At 47.3% G+C, this 20,900-nt stretch overlaps 2 protein-coding genes across 16 annotated transcripts in view, besides 2 other annotated features; both read right to left on the reverse strand.

Moving 5' to 3' along the window:
- Nucleotides 1-3,611, reverse strand: part of ARHGEF3 (Rho guanine nucleotide exchange factor 3) — a 351,849-nt gene extending 348,238 nt beyond the window's left edge. For 5 of the 11 annotated variants that reach the window (NM_001377411.1, NM_001377410.1, XM_017006503.2 and 2 more), the window contains exon 1: nucleotides 3,569-3,611. The gene's annotated coding sequence lies outside the window, so the exon portion shown is untranslated. Of the gene's footprint in view, nucleotides 1-1,088; nucleotides 1,236-2,889; nucleotides 3,128-3,568 lie in introns of those variants that run through there. The other 6 variants (NM_001377412.1, XM_047448226.1, NM_001377407.1 and 3 more) reach the window with 3 other exon arrangements.
- Nucleotides 3,006-3,145: a silencer, noted in NCBI's record as "silent region_14476". NCBI's record gives its function as "represses an Ori minimal core promoter by ATAC-STARR-seq in GM12878 lymphoblastoid cells {active_cell/tissue: GM12878}" and the evidence as "EXISTENCE:reporter gene assay evidence [ECO:0000049][PMID:35858748]".
- Nucleotides 3,626-3,695: a silencer, noted in NCBI's record as "silent region_14477". NCBI's record gives its function as "represses an Ori minimal core promoter by ATAC-STARR-seq in GM12878 lymphoblastoid cells {active_cell/tissue: GM12878}" and the evidence as "EXISTENCE:reporter gene assay evidence [ECO:0000049][PMID:35858748]".
- Nucleotides 14,325-20,900, reverse strand: part of IL17RD (interleukin 17 receptor D) — an 80,336-nt gene continuing 73,760 nt past the window's right edge. For all 5 annotated transcript variants that reach the window (NM_001318864.2, NM_017563.5, XM_047448369.1 and 2 more), the window contains one exon: nucleotides 14,325-20,848. In NM_001318864.2, the coding sequence (NP_001305793.1) occupies nucleotides 20,736-20,848 (113 nt within the window). In that variant the 3' untranslated portion in view covers nucleotides 14,325-20,735. The remainder of the gene's footprint in view (nucleotides 20,849-20,900) is intronic.

Below are 20,900 nucleotides of genomic sequence, written 5' to 3' on the forward strand. Positions count from 1 at the left end.
AAATTAGCTAGGCATGGTGGTGCATGCCCATAGTCCCAGTTACTCAGGAGGCTGAGGTGGGAGGATTGCTTGAGCCTGAGAGGCAGATGTTGCAGTGAGCCAAGATCACGCCACTGCATGCCAGCCTGGGCAAGAAAGCAAGACCCTATCTCTAAAAAAGAAAAAAGAAAAAGAAATGTGTACCCATTTTCATAACTGAATAAACAATTTTCATCAAAGTAAAGAAGAAAGCAAAGCTTGTCACCAAACCTCTCCACAGCAGACCTCACTCCACCCATCATGCTGATACTATCCCATGAAGAAACTGACTCAATAGATTAGAATTATATATTAAAAAACTTATTTTCAGTTGACTTTCAACCTGTGCAAGCGAAGTGATATGAATTAAAGAATATTTGTACAAACCATTAAGAAAATGGGTCCAAGGATTAATTTTCTTTTAAATATAGCTAGGGTTGCTTTAATAAATTGATTAAGGAATGATACAGAAAAATCCAGGAAAAGAACAAAAGAGAGACAGCCCCTACCCACCCCCACCTCCAACCCAATGAGTTACAGGAGCCTGAACAATACATAACTTGGCCTTGAAGGGTTACTAAACTATGGCAATGGCCTTTCTGCTTCATGCTTCTTTGCCTCAGACCCCCTCTGGTGAGACATGACTGGGCAGCATACTAAGTTCTGGTCAGGGGCTCAGGGACCTTAGTTATGGCAGAGAACTTTAGAGATGGATATTGATGAATGCAGGATAGTCAGAACACGAAGCAGACCATAAGGACTAGAATGATAGCATGCAGGAGGCCACATCTCGTCCTCAACAGTGTGGTACAGGGACTACATCTGGTTCTCTGCCCCCTCTCCTCCAATGGTTCTCTGTCCCCTCTCCTCCAGTGGAACAGGCTATTGCAGGAGATGACAAGTTCCCTGTGCCTAGAGGATTCAAGCTTAGGTTAAACAGTAACTAGGAAGAGGTGTTGCAGAGGTGATTTAATCTGGAGGTGAAAGTATGCTACATTAATGGTCACTTTCAACCCTGAGCTCCTGACAAGCAACCAGTTCCTTTGCATTTCACTACTCTCTAGACTCACCTCACTTCAGTCAATGGGTGTTCATTCACTCAGGACAGTTATTGTGCACCCGCTGTATGCCATGGAGCAGGAGTCAGTAGTCAACAGGACAACACACCTCTGTCCTCTTGAATCCTACATTCTCCTTGGTGGATGCACACAATAAACCTATAAATCAATGTATGAATAAGATCATCCCGGGCAAGCTCTATGAATAAAATACAAGAAAGAGTGTGATAGAAACTAATGGGGGAGGGGCTGCTTTGGACAGAGTGGTCAGAAAAACCATCTGTACAGGGGAGACATCTGAGCAAAATGGCAAGAAAGTGCCTGGCATGGAAGAAGTGATGCTAGGTTGAGGGAACAGCGTGTGCAAAGGCCCTGAGAAGTCTTCTGAAAACTTGAACTCAAATGTTCATGAATTGCATCCCAGCCTAAAGGTCTCACCACAGGCCAACAGTCCCTAACCTCACAGCCTGCCTCTCTTTCCCCTAATTGACCAAGTCAAGGCTGACCTGTATTGCCCACTGAAAAGTGTGTTCTGGGAGGGGGCACAAAGGGCAGCCCCCAGTTTGTAGGGAATTGAGATGTAACGGGGCAAGAACCTCCACTTTCCTACCAGAAGTTCAGAGTCCACTTTTCTGGGGCACAGGCCTCATGGAAAATACAATGTAAGGGGAAACCTCTGGAAAAATAACTGTGCTTCAAGTGCCTCGTGTAGATTTCAGGACGTTCAGTGGGGCTCCAGGTTCAGAGCTCTTATCTGTGGAGATTCAGAAGACAGAAACTAAATTGCCAAGAAGAAAGATACCAAATGGGTGCAGACCAGGAAAACTCTACAGATGGAGGGGGCAATCTGCTAGAAATGAATGAATGTGGGAGAAGGTGACAAGATCAGGTCCCTGGACCCTTAAATAGACTCCCACACTCACAGAGACTAGACAATGTCAGACTGTCAGGAGACCCAAGGCTTAAAAGAATCAAGTGAAATCTACCCACCCTCCCCCCAACCAAGAGGCAAACATTCAATCACACCCCAGAGCTTCCAGAGAAGGTCCAAGACCCCATTTCCCAACAGTGTCCTTGACAAAGTTCATCTCTAATCCCACATTCTGAGATATACTTTGCACAAGGCTAGTTAGCCATAGGAGGTGTTACAGCAAAGCTCAAATTTCCCAGTGCGGAAGGGAACACCATGGCTACTGTGTAAGCACCACCAGCTCCTTACCAGAATAAGGGGAAGGAGCAACTGCCTGCACACCCACCTCATTGAGAAGCTAGGGCTGTGCACGCGCTGTTAGATGTCAGTGATAATAATCACAAGAGCAGCTAACACAGAGGATTTACCCTGCCCCAGTCAGTATTTTAAGCACTTTATCCCTATACAACTCTTTAAGGTTTGTACTGTTATCATCCCCACTTTACAGATGAGAAAACTGAGGCATAGGTAAGCGAAGTAACTTGCCTAGGACTACACAGCTAAGACAAAGACCTAGCAAAGCTCCCCTTCTCCACACCCCAGGGAAGAAAGTGGTTATACCTGGGTAGTGCATGGAACGCTTAAAAATAAGTTTCTACCGGTACATTCAGGGCAACTACCGTCTGGCAGTTCTCGCGTCCTCGCCCAGTGCGGGAAGCAAGCCTGGGCCAGGCAATAAATCCAGCAAGCCGAGTCCTCTAAGAACAAGGCGCTCTGTTTCCGCAACATTCAAGCCCGTGATGGGGCTGCTGATAGTGCAAGAGCAGCTCTCCACCACCGCAAAGCCCAAGGGAACCCGTTTCCACTCGGCTCAATCAGCTTCCAGCCTCAGAAAACGCTCACCCGTCTCTGGCTGCGAGGCACCCACGCTGACCTTAACCCCTTGGCGTCCTCCACCCTGGTGTCCTATCTCGGGATTTTCTGGCTGCTCGGTTTACAAGATGCAGCCGCCGGGACAAGGGCCTCAGGCAGGCTGGGACGGCGCCCGCCGCCCGGAGCGCCCTGAGCCCGGCTCCCCCGCCGCGAAGTGACCCGCGGCCCTGTGAGCCGCCACCAGCAGCGCCCGACGCGACGCTGACCTGCGGGTGCCCCGCGGGGCTGGAGAAGAAAGTTGAGCGAAAGGGGCGCGTCCCAGGACAGGTGGCACCTCCCTCCCCGGAAGTGGCTCCGGGAATTTTCGCTCAAGGGGCTACCCGGGGAACAGAGTCAGGGTCCCCAGCAGGAGCGACGGCTAGTCGAGGCTGGCGGTGGCACTGCCCACCTGCGCTGCGCCCAGTGCGCCCCCGTGCGCTGGGCATACCCCAGACCAGGGAGCGCTCAGGGCCCGCCGGGGACGCCGAGACCTAGCAGGGTAACTCGGAGGTGGGAGTGGGGGTCCAGCTCGGGGACCAGGGCAAAGGAGGGACTAGACCGGAAGACGGTCTCACTCCGGGAGACCTAGCGGGGGTGTCCCGCCAAAGGGGTGTCTAGCCGGGGAGGGTCTAGCGCGGGAGCGGGTTTCCCGACTGCTTCCCGCACTCACCTCGACCCCCGCGCTGGTTCGGCCTCTCCAGGCTGGAAAACTCACCGCGGCGGCGGCGGCTGCGGCGGCGGCTCCCCTGGGCTGGGCGGGGCCGGGGGCGGGGAGGCCGGGCCGGCCACGTGGGCGGGAGGCGGGCCGGGGACCCCCGCGGGCGCCGGAGCCGGGCGACGCAGGACTTGGACGTGGCCACGCCCGGCCACCGCTCGACACCCCAGCTCCCCATGCACGGCCTAGGTCTACAGGGAGGCTAGAAAGAGGAGAGCGGAGGCCCCAGGACATCCCTCCCCCGCCGCCACCTAAATCAGACTCAGGCGGAGAGAATTGACCGAGTCGGAGGAGGGGTAAACAGCCCTGCCCCTCGCTCCCACTGTCCCGCCAGAGAACGCGCCGCGGAAACCCCGAGGGCGGGTCAAGGGCCAGGTACCCGAGTGGGAGTGGACTCTCGTGCCGGGGTGGTAGGGGCTACCCTAGCGGTCCAGGGCCAGAGCCTGCACGCGGCGCCCCCACCCCCACCGCTGGGCTGATCTTGGGTGTGTCAGATCTTGCCCAAGCCTCACTTTCCTCCACGGTGGAGGTGAGAATGAGGACGAGCCTGGAGCTGCGTGAACCCCGGCGCCCAGCAAGCTCTCAGGAATCGCCGGCCTGTAGGTGGACGCAGAGCCTGAAAGTGAGGGGCCTGGGTCGTGCATACGGAAATAAATATGGGACTCTAAATAAAGCGAGTTTCTGCAGGCATTCATTCATTCAACAGATGAACGCCTACGGTCTTCACCACCTCTTAAAATCAGAAATAAAGAATGCCCCAGACTGTAGTTACTGGGCTCAAGAAAGTGTAAACTCTGATGCTAAAAATAAAAAATTCATCGGTTCCCCCCATGTGCCAGCGGTGCATTTTAGGTGCTTGATCGAAGTTAACATTAACGACAGCCTTTAAGGTGGAGGGCCTGTGCGGGCCCGCTTCTCAAATGAAGAAATCGAAGCTTAGCAAGGTGAAGCCAGCCCCCAGAGCCAGAGGATCACAGTCTGGCCCCTGTTTACAGAGGAAAGAGCATCAGCCCAAAGTACTAAGACTCTTGCGCAGGTGCAGGAAGGGTGTGAGGGTTGAGAGCTCCCTGGGAGACCACCTGTAGTGACAGCAGCAGCTGGGATGCAGATCTTCCAGACTTACTTCACAGCAACCTCTGCCTTCTGTTGCAAGTGCTCAGCCTTGCAGTGCTGGGTGGCCTCTTCCTGGCCTGCAGCCCACCTTTTGGGCCAGAAACTGGGCATCTTGAGCAAACCAACTTCTGTTCCAACAGCTGCAACTTCATCCCACTACAGCTTCTGGGGGTTCCTTGACCCCAGACTCAATGCGTTATGACCCACCAGTTTCCTATTCAGGGAACACACTCTCTCCAGTACTCCGTTTCCAAGGACAACTCCTGTGTCCAGACCCCTAGTCCTCAACCTTTTCCCCAAGAACCCTTTTGTCATTCTCCTTCCTCCCTAAAGCAGAAGATCCCTACGACAACCAGGCGTGTTTATCAAGTAATTACATTTACTAAGCAAAGGGCTTCTCCTCTCTCTGAAGAGCCTGCTCCCTCATCTGAGCCCAGCAGTCCCTTCAGATCCGCCAGCCAACACCTGGTGTTCTACCCAGGCAAGCTTGTCAAAGAGAAAAGTTTTCTTTGCATGAGATTCAATTTAACAATTATTTGAGCATCTACTACATGCCACACACTGTGCTAGGCTCTGGGGACAGTAGTGACTGGATACCAAGATAGACACTATCCCTGACCTTATGGAGCTTATGAGCTGATGAGGGAGATAGTCGACTGACCCCTCACCAGGCAGCAAGGGATCAGGATGTGGTGACAGACACCTGGAAGAAGTACTGGCCCAGGCAGAGCACAGGTCACACTGCTGGAAGTCCATGGACGGGGGAGGTAAGGGGAGAAAGAGGCTGGAGGGGCCTTGATGGACAAAGTGAGACATTAGACCTTGTCCACCGAAAGGTTCAGACAGAGACATGATGGGATGTGAGCTACAGTTTGAAGACATCACACTGGCTGCTGAGTGAAAGATGATGTGGCAAGTGAGTCTCCTATATACAGCCAAAGGCAATGTGCCTTTTTATTATTACTAAAGGCAAATGCCTTGACTTCCTCTGTTTTATAATTCAGGATTTCCGGAAAGCAGGACACATCTGCAAGTAGGATATTTAGATTAGCAACACAGCAATTTAACCCACAAGGTTTCTATGTGCAGCTCTCCCACCCTCTCCTATCCATGCTGTGCTTGGCCCTGAGGTGGGCTTAGGGTTGGGGAGGACTTCGTTCCTAGACTCAGACTGAGAGTCTGTGGGGGGAGAGGTGATACACCCAAAGACAGTCCTTTATGGGGTGAGAGAGAAGATAGGCAGGAAATGTGGATGTCTATCCACAAAGTTTGGAAACTGGTGAAGACTCCAGAAGCCTCTGATGGTCAGTCATCTCTTCTCCTTGAAATAGTCAGTTTATTCATAAGGGCCCGTTCTTAAGTTCAGTTCCCTCTCCCCAAACTACAAGACAGGATGAGAAGGCCATGTACGGTGGCTCACACCTGTAATCCCAGCACTTTGGGAGGCCAAAGTGGGAGGATCACTTGAAGCCAGGAGTTTAAGACCAGCCTGGGCAACAAAGTGAGATCCCTGTCTCTACCAAAAATTTAAAAATTAGCTCGGCGTGGTGGTGTGTTTCTGTAGTCCCAGCTACTCAGGAGGCTGAGGCAGGAGGATTGTTTGAACCCAGTTTGGGGTTGCAGTAAGCCATGATCACACCACTGTACTCCAACCCGGGCTAACAGAGAAACCTTATCTCAAAAAAAAAAAAAAAAAAAAAATCAGGCTAGGGTGGGATCAGGGCAGTTACTTAACAAAATCATCAATTGGGGAAGCCAGGGTTTCTGCAAGAAACCCCCACCTGGATGGGCAAAGGATGAGCTGTGACTGACACCAGGCAGAAAAGCAATGGAGAGGGGCCAGGGCAAGGGGCTGGGTAGCACCTTCAGGGAAAGCAGCCGCAGGAGAAGGCACAACCAGGGTCAAGGGTGGGACTCTGAGATGACTGGCCCCAGCCACCTAGTAACCACTGGGTACCTTGAACACTTGCTGAGTGTCTGTTGTGTGTAACCTTACATTTAAAACCCTCTGCTTATGTAACACTACTCACTGTAAAGCAATATAGAAAATAGCAGAGGTACAAAGAATAAGAAAACCCACCCACAATCACACCATCCAGCAGTAACCACTGTTAATCTGTGTCCTTTATTTTTCATTTAACATATTGTGAATGCTTTCCTTTGTCGTGAAATATTCTCCCACAACATGATTGCTAAAGGCCATTTGGTCCATTGTATGCATGTGCCCTCTTATAATCAATTCCGACTGGTACTTGGTTTGTTCCTCATTTCTCGTTATCAGGATAATGCTTAGTAATGAATTTTTTGTTTGTTTGTTTTTTGAGGCAGAACCTCACTCTGTTGCGCAGGCTGGAATACAGTGATGTGATCTCACTGCAACCTTCACCTCCCAGGTTCAAGTGATTCTCGTGCCTCAGCTTCCCGAGTAGCTGGAATCACAGGCACCCACCACCATGCCCAGCTAATTTTTTTTTTTAATTAGAAATGGGGTTTTGCCATGTTGGCCAGGCTGGTCTCAAACTCCTGGCCTCAAGTGATCCACCCACCTTGGCCTCCCAAAGCGGGGATTACAGGTGTGAGCCACCACTTCCGGCCTGAAAATCTTTTTTTTTTTTTTTTTTTTTTTTTTTTTTTTTTTTTTTTTGAGGCAGGGTCTCGGTGTCTTGCCCAGGCTGGAGTGCAGTGGCACAATCTCAGCTCAGTACAACCTTGACCTCCCAGGCTCAAGTGATCCTCTCACCTCAGTCTCCCAAGTAGCTGGGACTACAGGCGTGCACCACCATACCCAGCTAATTTTTGTATTTTTTTGTAGAGACAGGTTCTCACTATGTTGCCAAAGCTGGTCACCAACTCCTAAACTCAAGCAATCTACCCGCCTCAGCCTCCCAAAGTGCTGGGATTATAGGCATGAGCCACCATATCCAGCCTCAAAAATCTTTGCACAACAAATGTAAGCACGCATTTTTAGTTACTTACTAAAGATAAAACCCCAGAAGTGGAATTACTGGAAGAGACATTTAACTCTCTGCCTGTAGCAATGCACTGTATAGATGCTCCCCCTCCCCCACTTTTTGGCATTTGAAAGGTGTGCCGTGTCCGGTTGCAGTCTTCACCCAGGGGATGGTGATGTGTCTGGGTATCGGTCTTTTTTTTTTTTTTGAGACAAGAGTCTCACTGTATCACCCAGGCTGCAGTGCAATGGCGCGATCTCGGCTCACTGCAGCCTCTGCCTCCCGGGCTCAAGTGATTCTCCTGCCTCAGCCTACTGAGTAGCTGGGATTACAGGCCCACGCCACCACACCCGGCTAATTTTTGTATTTTCAGTAGAGACGGGGTTTCACCATGTTGGTCAGGCTGGTTTCACACTCCTGACCTCGTGATCCGCCCGCCTCGGCCTTCCAAAGTGCTGGGATTACAGGTGTGAGTCACTGCGCCTGGCCTGGGTGTCAGTCTTATTGTTCAGGCCTAAGCAATGCTCTTCAAGTGCTACTAAAAGCCTTCTTTGGAAGCAAGTCCTTTCTGCTTTCATAATCTGGGTTAGAAAACCTGAGGAGCAAGGCTGAGCTGGGGAGTGGGAAGACAGAGAGAGGCTGTGGAGTGGGAAATACCTGAGTTCAAATACAACTTGAGCCCTGTCCTGAGGTGGGACATGGGCTCCAAAGTCCCTTTGGGAGGCTGAGGGGAGCTCAGGCACTATGCAATGCATGGCATAGTAGCAGGCATCCAACACACATTGGTAATTCTGATACGGCTCGTGTCGCTAACCAAACCTGTGTCTATAGCAAGCTATTATCCAGTCTGAGGACAGGAACCACAGGGTGTAAAACCTTGAGATAACAGAGCCTTGTGGGGGAAATACATAAAACAGCCCAGTCGTTCTCCACTCTGGGATCATGGTAAATGGATGGGAGCCATGTTCCAATTTGCAAAGTGAGGCACAGATGCAGTTTTCTCTTCTAGGGAGCCTTTTAAATTTACTAATAACTGTTATTTCTCAGCCGGGCACATGGCTCATGCCTGTAATCCTAGCGCTTTGAGAGGCCAAAGCAGGTAGATTGCTTGAGCCCAGGAGTTCAAGACCAGCCTGGGCAACATGGTGAAACCCCATCTCTACAAAAAAACACAAAAATCAGTGGGGCATGGTGGCGCAGGCCTATAGTCCCAGCTACTCAGGAGGCTAAAGTGGGAGGATCGCTTGAGCCTGGGAGGTTGAGGCTGTAGTGAGTGGATCTGCAGCTTGGGGTGACACAGTGAGACCCTGTTAAATAAATAATAAAAATAATAAAGAAAGAAAAGAAAAAAACACTATTATTCCCTATCTTGATGACAGCTAAAACAGATAGTAATGTTTTTGAGCACTTGTCATGTGCCAGGCACTGAGCGGGCTATCCCCTCCCATCCCCTGCTTTATCCTCACAACAACCCCATGAGGCAGGTACATTTTTTTACCTTCGTCTGACTGATGAGGAAACTGAGAACCAGGGAGATGAGGTGACTTGCCCCAGTGACTACTCAGTGGTAGGGTGGGGTGCAAGCTGGTTAAAGCAGTAAAACAAGAGTCCAGTCCAGATGGAAGGCCTCCGCAAGGGATACGGCCTCCCCTCATGAAGCAACATTCTAGTGAGCAAGAGGTTCCTGAAGACACATGTCAGGACCTAGACTAGAGGTGGACAGTAGACAGGGAAGGTCTCATTGCAAAGGAGGGATGGAGACTGAGAAAGGGTGATTCAGGTAGAAGAAACAGCACATGCAAAGAACCCGGGGCAGGAACACAGGAGTGAGGAATTTCAACAGTCTGGTATGATCAGAGAAAGAAGGGACACAGAGAGGAGAAGTCAGCAAGGCATCACATAAGAGATTCGGTATTCACTTCCAGGGCCACTAGTGGTTTTCAGCAGAAAGTGACATCTGATCAAGTACCCATCTCCCTTGAAGACCATTCCCAGCTGCCCTGTGGAACTGAGACCTCCAGGAGGCAGGGATTCCATTTCAGTTAGCTACGCCATCAGCTACCCAGGCCAGGGCCAAGGGAGACATTCAGGAGAAATCCCATTTCGTAACTGTACACCTCCTAACCTGCCCCCATGACTCATCCCTATAGGAACAGGGGCTTTCTGCGTGCCATCCTTTGTGCCCAGAATTTCACCCAGCCTCAAAATAGACCCATTAGGTACTGAATTATTAACTGTTTTTTTGTTTTGTTTTGTTGTTTTGAGACAGAGTTTTGCTCTGTCGCCCAGGCTGGAGTGCAGTGGTGCGATCTCGGCTCACTGCAACCTCCACTTCCCAGGCTCAAGTGATCCTCCCACCTCAGCCTCCTGAGTCGCTGAGACTACAGGCACATGCCACCATGCCCAGCTGATTTTTGTATTTTTAGTAGAGACGGGGTTTCAACATGTTGGCCAGGCTGGTCTCGAACTCCTGACCTCAGGTGATCCGCCCACCTCGGCCTCCCAAAGTGCTGGGGTTACAGGTATGAGCCACTGTGCCTGGCCCTATTATTAACTGTTTTCTAGATGGAGAAAATAAGTCCTAAACAGGGCAAGGCACCTGCTTAGGGAAACACAGAAAATGGCAAACTGAGATCTAAGTTCAAGATGCCTCAGACCAAAGCCTGCCTCAACTTTAATCACAATGCTAATTTTCATCTCATGAATAATAACACACAATTATACACAGGTGTGCAAGATACTGAAGCATATCTACCTCCAGAGATACAGAACCAAAGGCAGGACCTGACTGTATTTGCATTCAGCTGCCAGGCATGCTCCTGCCTTTCTTTTCTACAAGTTTCCTCTGGCCTGGCCTTGCCCAACCTGGTAGGAAGTCTATGGTTTGTTTTGAGGCTGATGTCTGCCCACTCCCCAGAATGTCTCTGACCAGCAAGAGTGAAAAAGACCAGGCAGAGCCATCTCATTCTGGAAGACTGTTATTTGATCTCCTCCCACCTCCCTCCACTAATTTCTAAAACTTGGGAAATTGCCCTGACCTTGTGCTGATGGTTTGAGAAACAACCCCTGCCTTTGTTCACATTCAGAGTGGAGAGTGGTCATCTGCCTGGCACAGAGACCTTACAGCAGCAAGTCCAGAAAAATGTATCTCTATCAGGATTAAATGGCAACCAGGAAAAAAGGAGTCTGGGGAATGGAACATCAGCAGATCTCAAGGTGCACAGTCAACTGTCACAGGCTATGTGTGGTCAGCTATTGGGAACCCCAGAGCTAATGTCTTAATTTTGCCAAATTAAGTTCCTCTTCAACCCTCACCTCTGCAACAGCCAGGCATGGACCCACCCTTTTCTTTTAGGGGATAGAAATGATACAACTTATCACCTGACAAAGCACTTGGCCTAAAGTTCCTTGTGGGCATGGAACTGTCTCCCACCCATCCCGATATGGCCCCCAAAAAGCCCAAGACCTGCTCTTCCATTATATAATTAATAGCTACTATTCACCAAGTACCTGGCATTTGCTGAGCACAGCCTTGGGTACTTTATATACTCCATCTCATTTAATCCTCACAATAACCCTTTGTGGTGAGTATTAGGCCCATCTTACAGATGAAGAAACTGAGTTTCAGAACACTTAGATGACTTGCCCTCAACTCTATACATAGGAAGAGGTGGAGTCAGGAGGGCAGGAGTACTGTGTACCATGTCCATCACTATGTCTGTTTCCCAGCACACACTTTGGAATTAACCCTGTTAAGGCAGTTGTAGCATGTATAAATGTGAAAGATGGTGCAAGGTCCCTTCCAGAAAGAGGCCAGGGAGCCAAGCTCACTGATCTTGCATTTCTTTTCTTTAATCCCAAGGGCCCCATTTGAATTTTCTCATTGCAAAAGTTCTTATGCCGTGTTTGTGTCCATCTCTCCCCTTCATTGCATCCTCTAACTTATCCTATTCTTGGGCCTCTTATGATTTCATTCCTTGTGGACAGTGAGGACAGAATATGCTGAGGGAGCAGTGGGAAACACATTTATTGGGGACCCACTGTGCCCAGGACTGCAAAGATAGATTTTATGTCTCCTCCCTCCTCCACCTGCTTAGCTTATCACCTGTAGTTCTTATTCAACTAAAGCAACAATTTTTTTTTTTTTTTTGTAGTTAGAGCCTGTAAGAGGAAGCTGGTCTTTGCTCCTCTAATACTGGTATTTCTAAAACAAAGCAAAGCCAGTGGCAGGGCCCCACAGATGTTGGGGACTGCAAGAACCCTAGGCAGCTGTAAAAACAGAGAGCTTTCTAATATCATGGTAAAAATGAGGGCTTCTCATGCTGTCCCAAGAGAACATTAATAGAAAGTACTAGCTGCAATGTTTTTTTTTTCTTTTTTAACTTTTTAATTTTAACTTAAAATTTTTTGAGACAGGATCTTGCTCTGTTGCCCAGGCTGCAGTGAAGTGGTGTGATCATATAGTTCACTGCAGCCTCAAACTCCTGGGCTCAAGTGATCCTTTCACCTCAGCCTCCTGAATACCTAGGACTACTAGCACACACCACCATGCCCAGCTAATTTTTAAATTTTTTTGTAAAGATGGGGTCTTGCTATGTTGCCCAGGCTGGTCTTAGACTTCTGGTCTGAAGTGATTCTCCTGTCTTGGCCTCCCAAAGTGCTGAGATTACAGGTGTAAGTCACCATGCCTGAACTATTTGTACTTTTTGAGGCCTCAGCCTGCTAAGTAGGTGAGTCTATAGGTGCGCACTGCCAAGCCCAGCTGTAACTTTTATTTTAATGAAAGAAAAGGAAAGAGAAATTCATGTATTGCAGTATCTGCCTAACGAGATCCATTTGCTTCAACTCTGAACCAGATTTACACTCAGAATTTGCAAGAGAAAGGAACCAAGTCACTCAAGATTCTTCCTTCCGCTTAAACTGTTACTGAGGGACAGAGCAGCCTATTGATCAGGAGTGGTGATGCTTCAATCAGACTTCAACTCCAGTGCTGCCAATTTCTTGTTTGTGCCCTTGGCAAAGCTATAGAATTTCTAGACATCAGAATCTCAAAATTGAGGCTGCTGATAGTACCCCCCATAGGGGGTCATGGTGAGAAAAAACATGAAGAGCACTAAGAGCAGGAACCAGCCCTACTGACATTCAGAGGTTGGCAATCATCACTTCCTCTCTGCCACTCATTTTACGGGAAAGCTCTCTATTGCCTTTGACCACACATTTTTGAGTCCATCCCTACCTGGCTGGCTTGACCTTTACCAAGGGGTTACCTGAGCAGTCTAGGTAGGGTTTGCCTCAGCTCATATCCTGGCTCTGCCACTAGCCAGCTATGGGATCACAAGTCAGTTATAGCCTCTCTGAGCCTCAGTTTCCTCATCTGTATAATGGGAACAGTACGATTGGCCACCTCACAGAGCAGCCGTGAAGATGAATGAGATGATGTGTGTAAAGCACTTAGCACTCCTGGAACTAAAAAGAATTGACAGAGTGTGGGGGAAAAGGAAATCAATGGGAGAAATGACAAGGAGCCTCCTGGGTGACTCTACCCAGGAGAAACGAAGGCTATGCGAAGGTCAGGAGGCAAGAATGTGTGAGAATTTCCTCCTCTCAGAAACAACAGTGCTTCCCTCAGAGCTGTTTTCTTTGAGGGGGTTTTGTTTTTTACCACTCCTTCTGTTTTCCTTGGGTTCCCCAGAGTAGGTTGTAGGCCCTGAGCACATTAACATCCCAGTGAAGTATGAGAAGGAACAAGTAAATAAGGAAGATCCAGTTTTTAAAATCTATTATGGTCCCAAGACCCCAAACTTAGACTATATCCTGCTCGGGCAATGGTCAAAAGCTTGTATTCTATGTCCTTGCTATTTGTTAACCCTCACTGTTCTCCTGTGGACACTGTCATTTACTGAGCATGGACTATGAGCCAGGAATGCGCAGGTGGCACTTTACATTCACCATGCAGTTTAATTCACTGCCCTCTAAAGTAGGACCTCTTTACGGGTGAGAGGCTGAGGGGCAGAGTCTGACAGTCACTGGGGCACAGCAACAGTAGCAGAGGCCAGGCATAGTGGCTCACACCTGTAGTCCCAGCACTTTGGGAGACTGAGACGGGAGGATCGCCTGAGCTCAGGAGCTCAAGAGCAGCCTGGGCAAATTAGGGAGAGCCTACCTCTTTAAAAAAAAAAAAAAAAAATTCAGCAGAGCTGGGACCTGACCCTGAAGGTGATGGACACCAAGAAGTTAACTCACAGAGCATGGGGGTCACAGGAGGGGAGGATGTCCATGGAAGACTGAGCAGGCATCTCTTTTTCTGAGTGACAAAAAAAATTTGCGTGCAGCCCCCAAATCTCAGTGGCTTTTTTCAAATTTCTAAAAAGAAAGTCCATTTGTTCTGAGAAGTCAAATTTCTTTCTGACATAAGTAACCCTGTTGCAACAGGGAAGCCTCCTGATGCCACACGGGTAATGGGCGACTGATTGCCTGTGGAGCCGAGCTGAAGGTCTAGGGCAGCAGGGTCCTGTTCTCTAAAGGGCAAGGAAGACTGGCCACCCCTGGCCTCCTCGTCCTGAGGCAGAGCCCTCTGAAAACTGGGCTGGGAACCCCAGACAGTCAGGAAACAAGAAAGATGTGCTGAAAAATGAGCCACTACAACCTTAAAACAAAACATTTTATTTAATGCAGAAATTCTAAGGTACAAAAACATTTTGTAAATGTCAGCTGTGATCTACTTTCACCTAGTTACAGAGTTATGTACAAATCAAGTCATTAACATTTTCAATGTCAAAAATACAGCACGCTGTTAAGAGTTCTGTCAGTGCTCATTATCCCACTAGATCCCACAAAGGGCAAACTCAAAGATGAAACAAAGGCAACGCCATCAATAACCACCATATTCCACAGGCTTTCTCCCCTAGGACGTACTAACAGGGAGTTTCCACAGGGAAAAATTCTCTTTTAAAAAATTAACAGTAAAAATAGGAGTTACTTACTATCTAGATGAACACAATTGGTTTTCACAAAAGCTTTTGCTGCTGTCTGGACTCACCATGCTTTTTTCTTGAGAGAAACATACCAAACTTTTTGTTGTTGTTGTTGAGACGGAGTTTCGCTCTTGTTGCCCAGGCTAGAGTGCAATGGCGTGATCTCAGCTCACTGCAACCTCTGCCTCCCGGATTCAAGCGATTCTCCTGCCTCAGCCTCTCGAGTAGCTGGGATTACAGGCACACACAACCACGCCTGATTAATTTTGTATTTTTAGTAGAGACAGGGTTTCACCATGTTGGTCAGGCTGGTCTTGAACTCTGGACCTCAGGTGATCCGCCCACCTTGGCCTCCCAAAATGCTGGGATTACAGGCGTGAGCCACCGTGCCCCGCCTGATACCAAACTTTTAAAACAACAGATGAGCACATTAGTGTAATCCAATGGCAATTTTTTGTCTAACAATTGGAGCAGCTAATTTTGTCTACATCATGTACAAATAGAAGATTGACTCTGAATCTTCCTGAAATTTTATAGGATATAAACATCAGATATGCAGTCATAACTGTTTGCTTTTGTGAGACTTCTGATTGTGCAAAACGCAGTGCTTGGTCAATTGAGAGCAGAACATAAACAAGATCCTGGAGGTGTCTATGGTCCAAGCTGAATTTTAAAGAACAAAAGGGCAAGAGGGAAGACAACTGGCCAAAATTCCCCAGACATCTTCACTGGGAGATTCAAATGTCTTTGCAAATTAGCCCTCAAACAGCAATGGGAAGGTGGTACTTAGCAACTACTGCTGTTACCACACCAGTGGTTAAACTGAAGTCTGTACCATTTAATATTGTGAGTCATGAAATAAAGGTGATATCTATAGAGATGTGTAAAAATAGGATCTAAAATTGGGAGGGAGGGGTAGCTGCCACTCAGAAGGTAAGAGCTGGTCTCAGAGTATACATCAGGAATAAGCACCAAGTGTTTGATCTCAGGAGGAAAACAAACACAAGTTATGATAGATGACTATCATCAGGGGAAAAATGTGGCAGTCAAATAATTCTCAATGAATATAGGTGACATATCATTTTGTGAAAGTGCCATTATATTTTTAAGTGGTAAGAGGAGCTGGGTGTGCAAGAATTTCCCCATAATCCCCATCCTGAGCCTCGTCTTCACAAGGCACCAATGTGAGTAAGGCACCAACATTGTTTGGGCAACTAAACTAAGTGTGAAGCTGAGAAACATTACAGCAGTGAAAATTATTAGGCCCCTGGAAAACAAGAGCCATGAAGAATGGTTTAAGTGGGTGGAATTATTTATCACTGAAATAAAAACACCAGGGGGATGACTTCACTGTGGTTTTTGAATACATGGAAGGTGACCAGCTGTTCTTTCTCCACTACAAGCCGAACAAAAGGAAGCTGGCTTGAATTTCTCTAAGACATACAAAGAACTATCTGATCAGCAGGGTAGGTTACAGAATCTCCTTCTTATAAAATAAAGAATACCATCTACAGCCATATGTCTGGAATAATTCAGGCACAGCCCTGTCTGACACCAGGGGGAGAATATGCTAGATAATCTAAACTCTCTCCTAGTCCCTAAACTCTGAAACTGGAATCAAAGCCACTGGCTTGCAGTCAGATTTCCTTTTGTCTATTTTCACTCTGAGCCTGGAAAGGAGGTGATATGGCAAGGATGACCCAACACCCCATTTGGACTCCTAACTGATATCTCAGTATCAGGAAAAGCTTTTCTCTGTATACTGTTTCACACCTCCAAAACACAGTCAATTCACAGACCACTTAAAACGGAAGATAATGCAAATACCTGGCTCTAATGGACGCTAGGAGGTTCCTTGCCTTACTCTCTACAACTGCCTGCTTTCCTAATCATGTCTTGGCCTATGCTCAGAATTGCACACCACCTGAAAAAAATTATGCCAAGAGCTAAAACTATAAACAAAGCCCTTTAGGTTGTGGAGTTTAAATGAAATTGTTAGGCCGGGCGCAGTGGCTCACGCCTGTAATCCCAGCACTTTGGGAGGCCGAGGCAAGCGGATCACCAGGTCAGGAGATCGAGATCATCCTGGCTAACACAGTGAAACCCCGTCTCTACTAAAAATACAAAAAAATTAGCCAGGCGTGGTGGTGGGCGCCTGTAGTCCCAGCTACTCAGGAGGCTGAGGCAGGAGAATGGCGTGAACCCGGGAGGTGGAGCTTGCAGTGAGCCGAGATCACGCCACTGCACTCCAGCCTGGGCAACAGAGCAAGACTCCATCTCAAAAAAAAAAAAATGAAATTGTTCCCAGCATTTTTTAAATTGAGAGAGCATAAATCTGATTCTGAAATTAACAACTGGCTTGCCTTTCTTTTAAGACACTGTGAAATGTAAAGACGCAATCAAGACATGTCCAGTGCATTCAGAATCACGTCAAATTTCTTTGCGGGGGAGACTGGAGAAAGAAGCAATCTAACTACTGGCTGCATTTAGCAAGAGCATTTTCTGGTGGCACCGTCTGTAATTACCATGAATGCCTTTCCTTCAAATCTTATAAAGCACAGGTTAACAAACTGGTAGTCAGTGGACCAAATCAGGTCCATCCATGTCTTCTGCTGGGTCTAAATTCACTTGAATTTTAACTTAGTTGCCAATATTTTTTAAAATCAGAATTTTTCATATAAAAATCCAGATTGTCAGCTTTTCTTGAAAAATGGGAAGATCAGGAAGTACTTCATGGCCACAGTCGACTGGAAAATTACCCACTGTGGGTGGAACAGGGGCGCTTCAGTTTGCCACAGTCCCCACCATTCCCTATTGCTGACACAGACAAAGTATATTAATTACCATTTATCATCACACTGCTGTTTTCCTTATACCTCACCTGCTATACTGGTGACCACTGAAGGTATAAGATCTGCTAAATAAGAGCAGTAGTAGTCTTCACCAATAGAAAATAAAAAAGACTAGTAACCTTCACATTGGCATTGCCCATTTCTCTTCAATAAAGACAGAAATAATATTTTCTCTCTTCTTCAGGGAGCCAAATTAGTGTTGAAGTTGGGGGGCCAGAGAGTTTTCTTTCTTTTGGGAGAAGGGTGTGTCATTTTTCCTCAAGGAATAAAATTGGTCCTCTTGCCCCTTATTTCTTTTAAAAGAAAAGATGCTCAACTCTGAAAAAAAGGCTCTGAAAATCATGTAACCCCACATTTTTTGAAGGACAGTCTTCCTGCTTATTTGCACTCAAGATACTATTATTTGCTCAAGATACTATTATCTGGCTGGGTCACCATCTGAATACCTGGGCCTGGACTGGAATGACTTCTGACTCTTTCTGGAGATCAATTGCCTCAAAGGCCCAAGACAGCCCTCTGGAGGAGCTTTGGCACCTTGTATGGCTGGGCTGAGTCTGTTGAGGTGGTCTCTGTTGAGGTGGTCTCTGTTGCTTGTAGCCAATCTCTGAGAAGGCACACCTTTACCTGAGCTTTAACCTCCTTGATCACTCTCCTGGCAAAGCTGATGACATCAGATGCTAAGTCCTTTCTGTAGCTCATTGGTAAGTTAAGATGAACAACTAGCACTCTACCTTCAGCTACCCGCAGGCTTCTTGGTTTTCCTGGAAACCTGGACTTATCCCTGGTCTCTTTTCTAGAGGACGTTGTCTAACCTATCTACACAAGCCTTTTACTCTCAGGATCAAGGCCTCTCATGGAGATCATCCTGTTTTCCATTTCTTGTTTCCATAATATCTAAAAGCCTGTGACTTGGCAGAACGTTTTTCTGAATTTCATCTTATATCCACCGTCTGGGACAATTTCTGAGTCAAAAAATGCAGCTTTGCTTAAAACAGATGTTTTGCCGTAATCTGCAGGGCAACGATTCCCATTTCTAGCATACTGGGGAGAGTAGAAAAAGTGAAACTAATTAAACAAAACTAGGAAGTTGGACTTCTCAATTTATTCTGAGGCAATCACACTATGGTTTCATTACTCGGTATATTAAGAGTTTGATTTTATTGATCAGAAACATTAGTATTTCAACATAAGTATCAAAACCCTAAATCCAAACTAAAACATCCCGATTTTTTAACTAGCACTCTCTTTTTCTCTTCCATTTTCTTAAGGAGTGAGTTCACATAGCAAGCTCTCTGCCCACACACCCTTGGAGCTCAGTTAATGCTTCTCCTCCCAGTCCTCCATTCTCTCCCTGGGGCCACTTTCTCAGAGATGCCTTATTTCATGAACAAAGCTGAATACCCTAAAAGCGACTCCTAATGGTTCCTCTGGGACAGGAAACATCTCTTGGCCTCAATAAGAAATCTCTCATCATGTTCCAAGTGAATTTTCGTATGTTAGCAAGTTTGGACTAACCAATCTCCTTCACAGAATGCCTAGGATGAAATGGCGGGGCAGTCATGTGTGGGTAGGAGCTCTGCACTCATTCCAGATTCCATAGGAACAACATAAAATGACTCTTCTCTGAGTTGCCTGTTGTTATGGGGAGGCAGTCTTGCAGCTCACTGTCTCTCCCTCAGAGCAGCTGCAAGAAACTTGATGCCAGAGAACAGACGAGCACGTTCTTTTCCCAAAAAGCTGCCAGCTGCCTTTACAGAGCAGTGAGTATGACATTTGCATCAGAAATATACACAAACCTTTTCTTTCCAGCAGGGGTGCAAGCCCCCCTTTCCCCACCTGCCATGCATGTGCTTGGAAGGGAAAGTCCTGCCCCATCCCACCTCCCACCTTGCCTCAGGATGTTTCTCAACATACCCCTTCATGTTGGTCTTATCTGACGAAGAAGTGAAAACCACATTCCCTGGGCTGAATGCTGAGAAAACGGGTGCCAAAATCTAACAGCACCCATGAGAAAGGTAGTGAGAGATGTACACACCTGCTCTAAGGCACAGGGAGAAGGGTTTCCACAGGGGAGACCAAGACAGCATTCATTACACACATGCTAATCATCAGATGGGATGTGAACAATTGTTTTTTCTTTAGAAATAGAAACTCTGTAGAAAGTCATTCATAAAAATGGAACATTTACTTTTGTGACTATCACCTCCATTCTACCATCTTAAAAAGAGGTTTGTCATTAGTCAAAACCAGTTCAGCAGATTAACTGGCCATCACCTCCACACACTGCTGTATTTCAGTGAATTGTGATCCCTAATATTCAGGACACAGCTTTAGACCAGAAGGCCAACCAAAGCACGAACTGCAACTTCCAATAATACAGACCAGCTGGGTAGCAGTCTCTTAAGAATAAACTTCCAGACACCAACATCTGAGATACAGCACAGTAAATGTAACCCATGGAAACAGCAGGCAGATCTGGCCCCCACATGATGCCTACTCAGACCAAGAGGAGGCTGTGTGTGCTGAGGTCCTGGGGCCTTCTGCACGATGACCAACCTATCTCAAGTGGAACGGTCAAGACGGTCAGCCTGGCCCCGTGAGCTTCACCTCAATCAGTCATGCCACCCAGTAACACAGAGACTCATTTCATAAAAGGTGACTGTATATTCAGTCACTTTCTTGACTTTTGACTCAAAGCTTATTTAACACCCATGGCAATGTAAATTCTACATCAAAAATAAATGAGAACATTATCTGCAATACAACATGGATTCCAGATAGACTGGCACTTGATTTCTGTGGCTATGATGTTAAAAGTGCCTTTTTTCACAAAGCATTTCAAATCAAGGTAGCCAATAGCAAACAGGCAAAGTTTGCAGAGCTCAATGAAGTCTGAATGATTAGTGCAGGTATCTTCCTGTTTTTCTTTACATATTTCCTCCCTACCTCCCACAACAGGCTCTGATCCAAGGACTAACCAAATTTGGCAAGCTGTTGTCAGACCTTATGGACATGCCTTTCAGAGCTCCATATCATTTTAGAAAATTGGAGAGTTTGTCAAGATATCCGGTAAAGGGTTGGGGCAAGGGAGAACAAGTACTGGCCAGCATTTCACTCCAAATATCCTTGTATGAGACCTCAGCTCCAAGTGGGCCATGCAACCAGGGAGATGAGCTGGGGAATCAGAGGGAGGCAGCAGCTAAAGTGGCAATGCTTAGACTCTTTCGTTTTGTTACAAAGGGGCGACCGCGTGGAGTTCATCAGTGTAGCTGCGGCAACCAAGATCTGCTTTGCATGACCCAGAAGAGAGGAGCTTGGAAGGAAGGGCAGGAGGTTCCTCCTCACCTAAGGAGAGAAGAGAGTACAGAGTCACACTGTCATTGCATTTCACTGGGCT

This window comes from Homo sapiens, chromosome 3 (assembly GCF_000001405.40).
Source record: "Homo sapiens chromosome 3, GRCh38.p14 Primary Assembly".
NCBI classification, from domain to species: domain Eukaryota; kingdom Metazoa; phylum Chordata; class Mammalia; order Primates; family Hominidae; genus Homo; species Homo sapiens.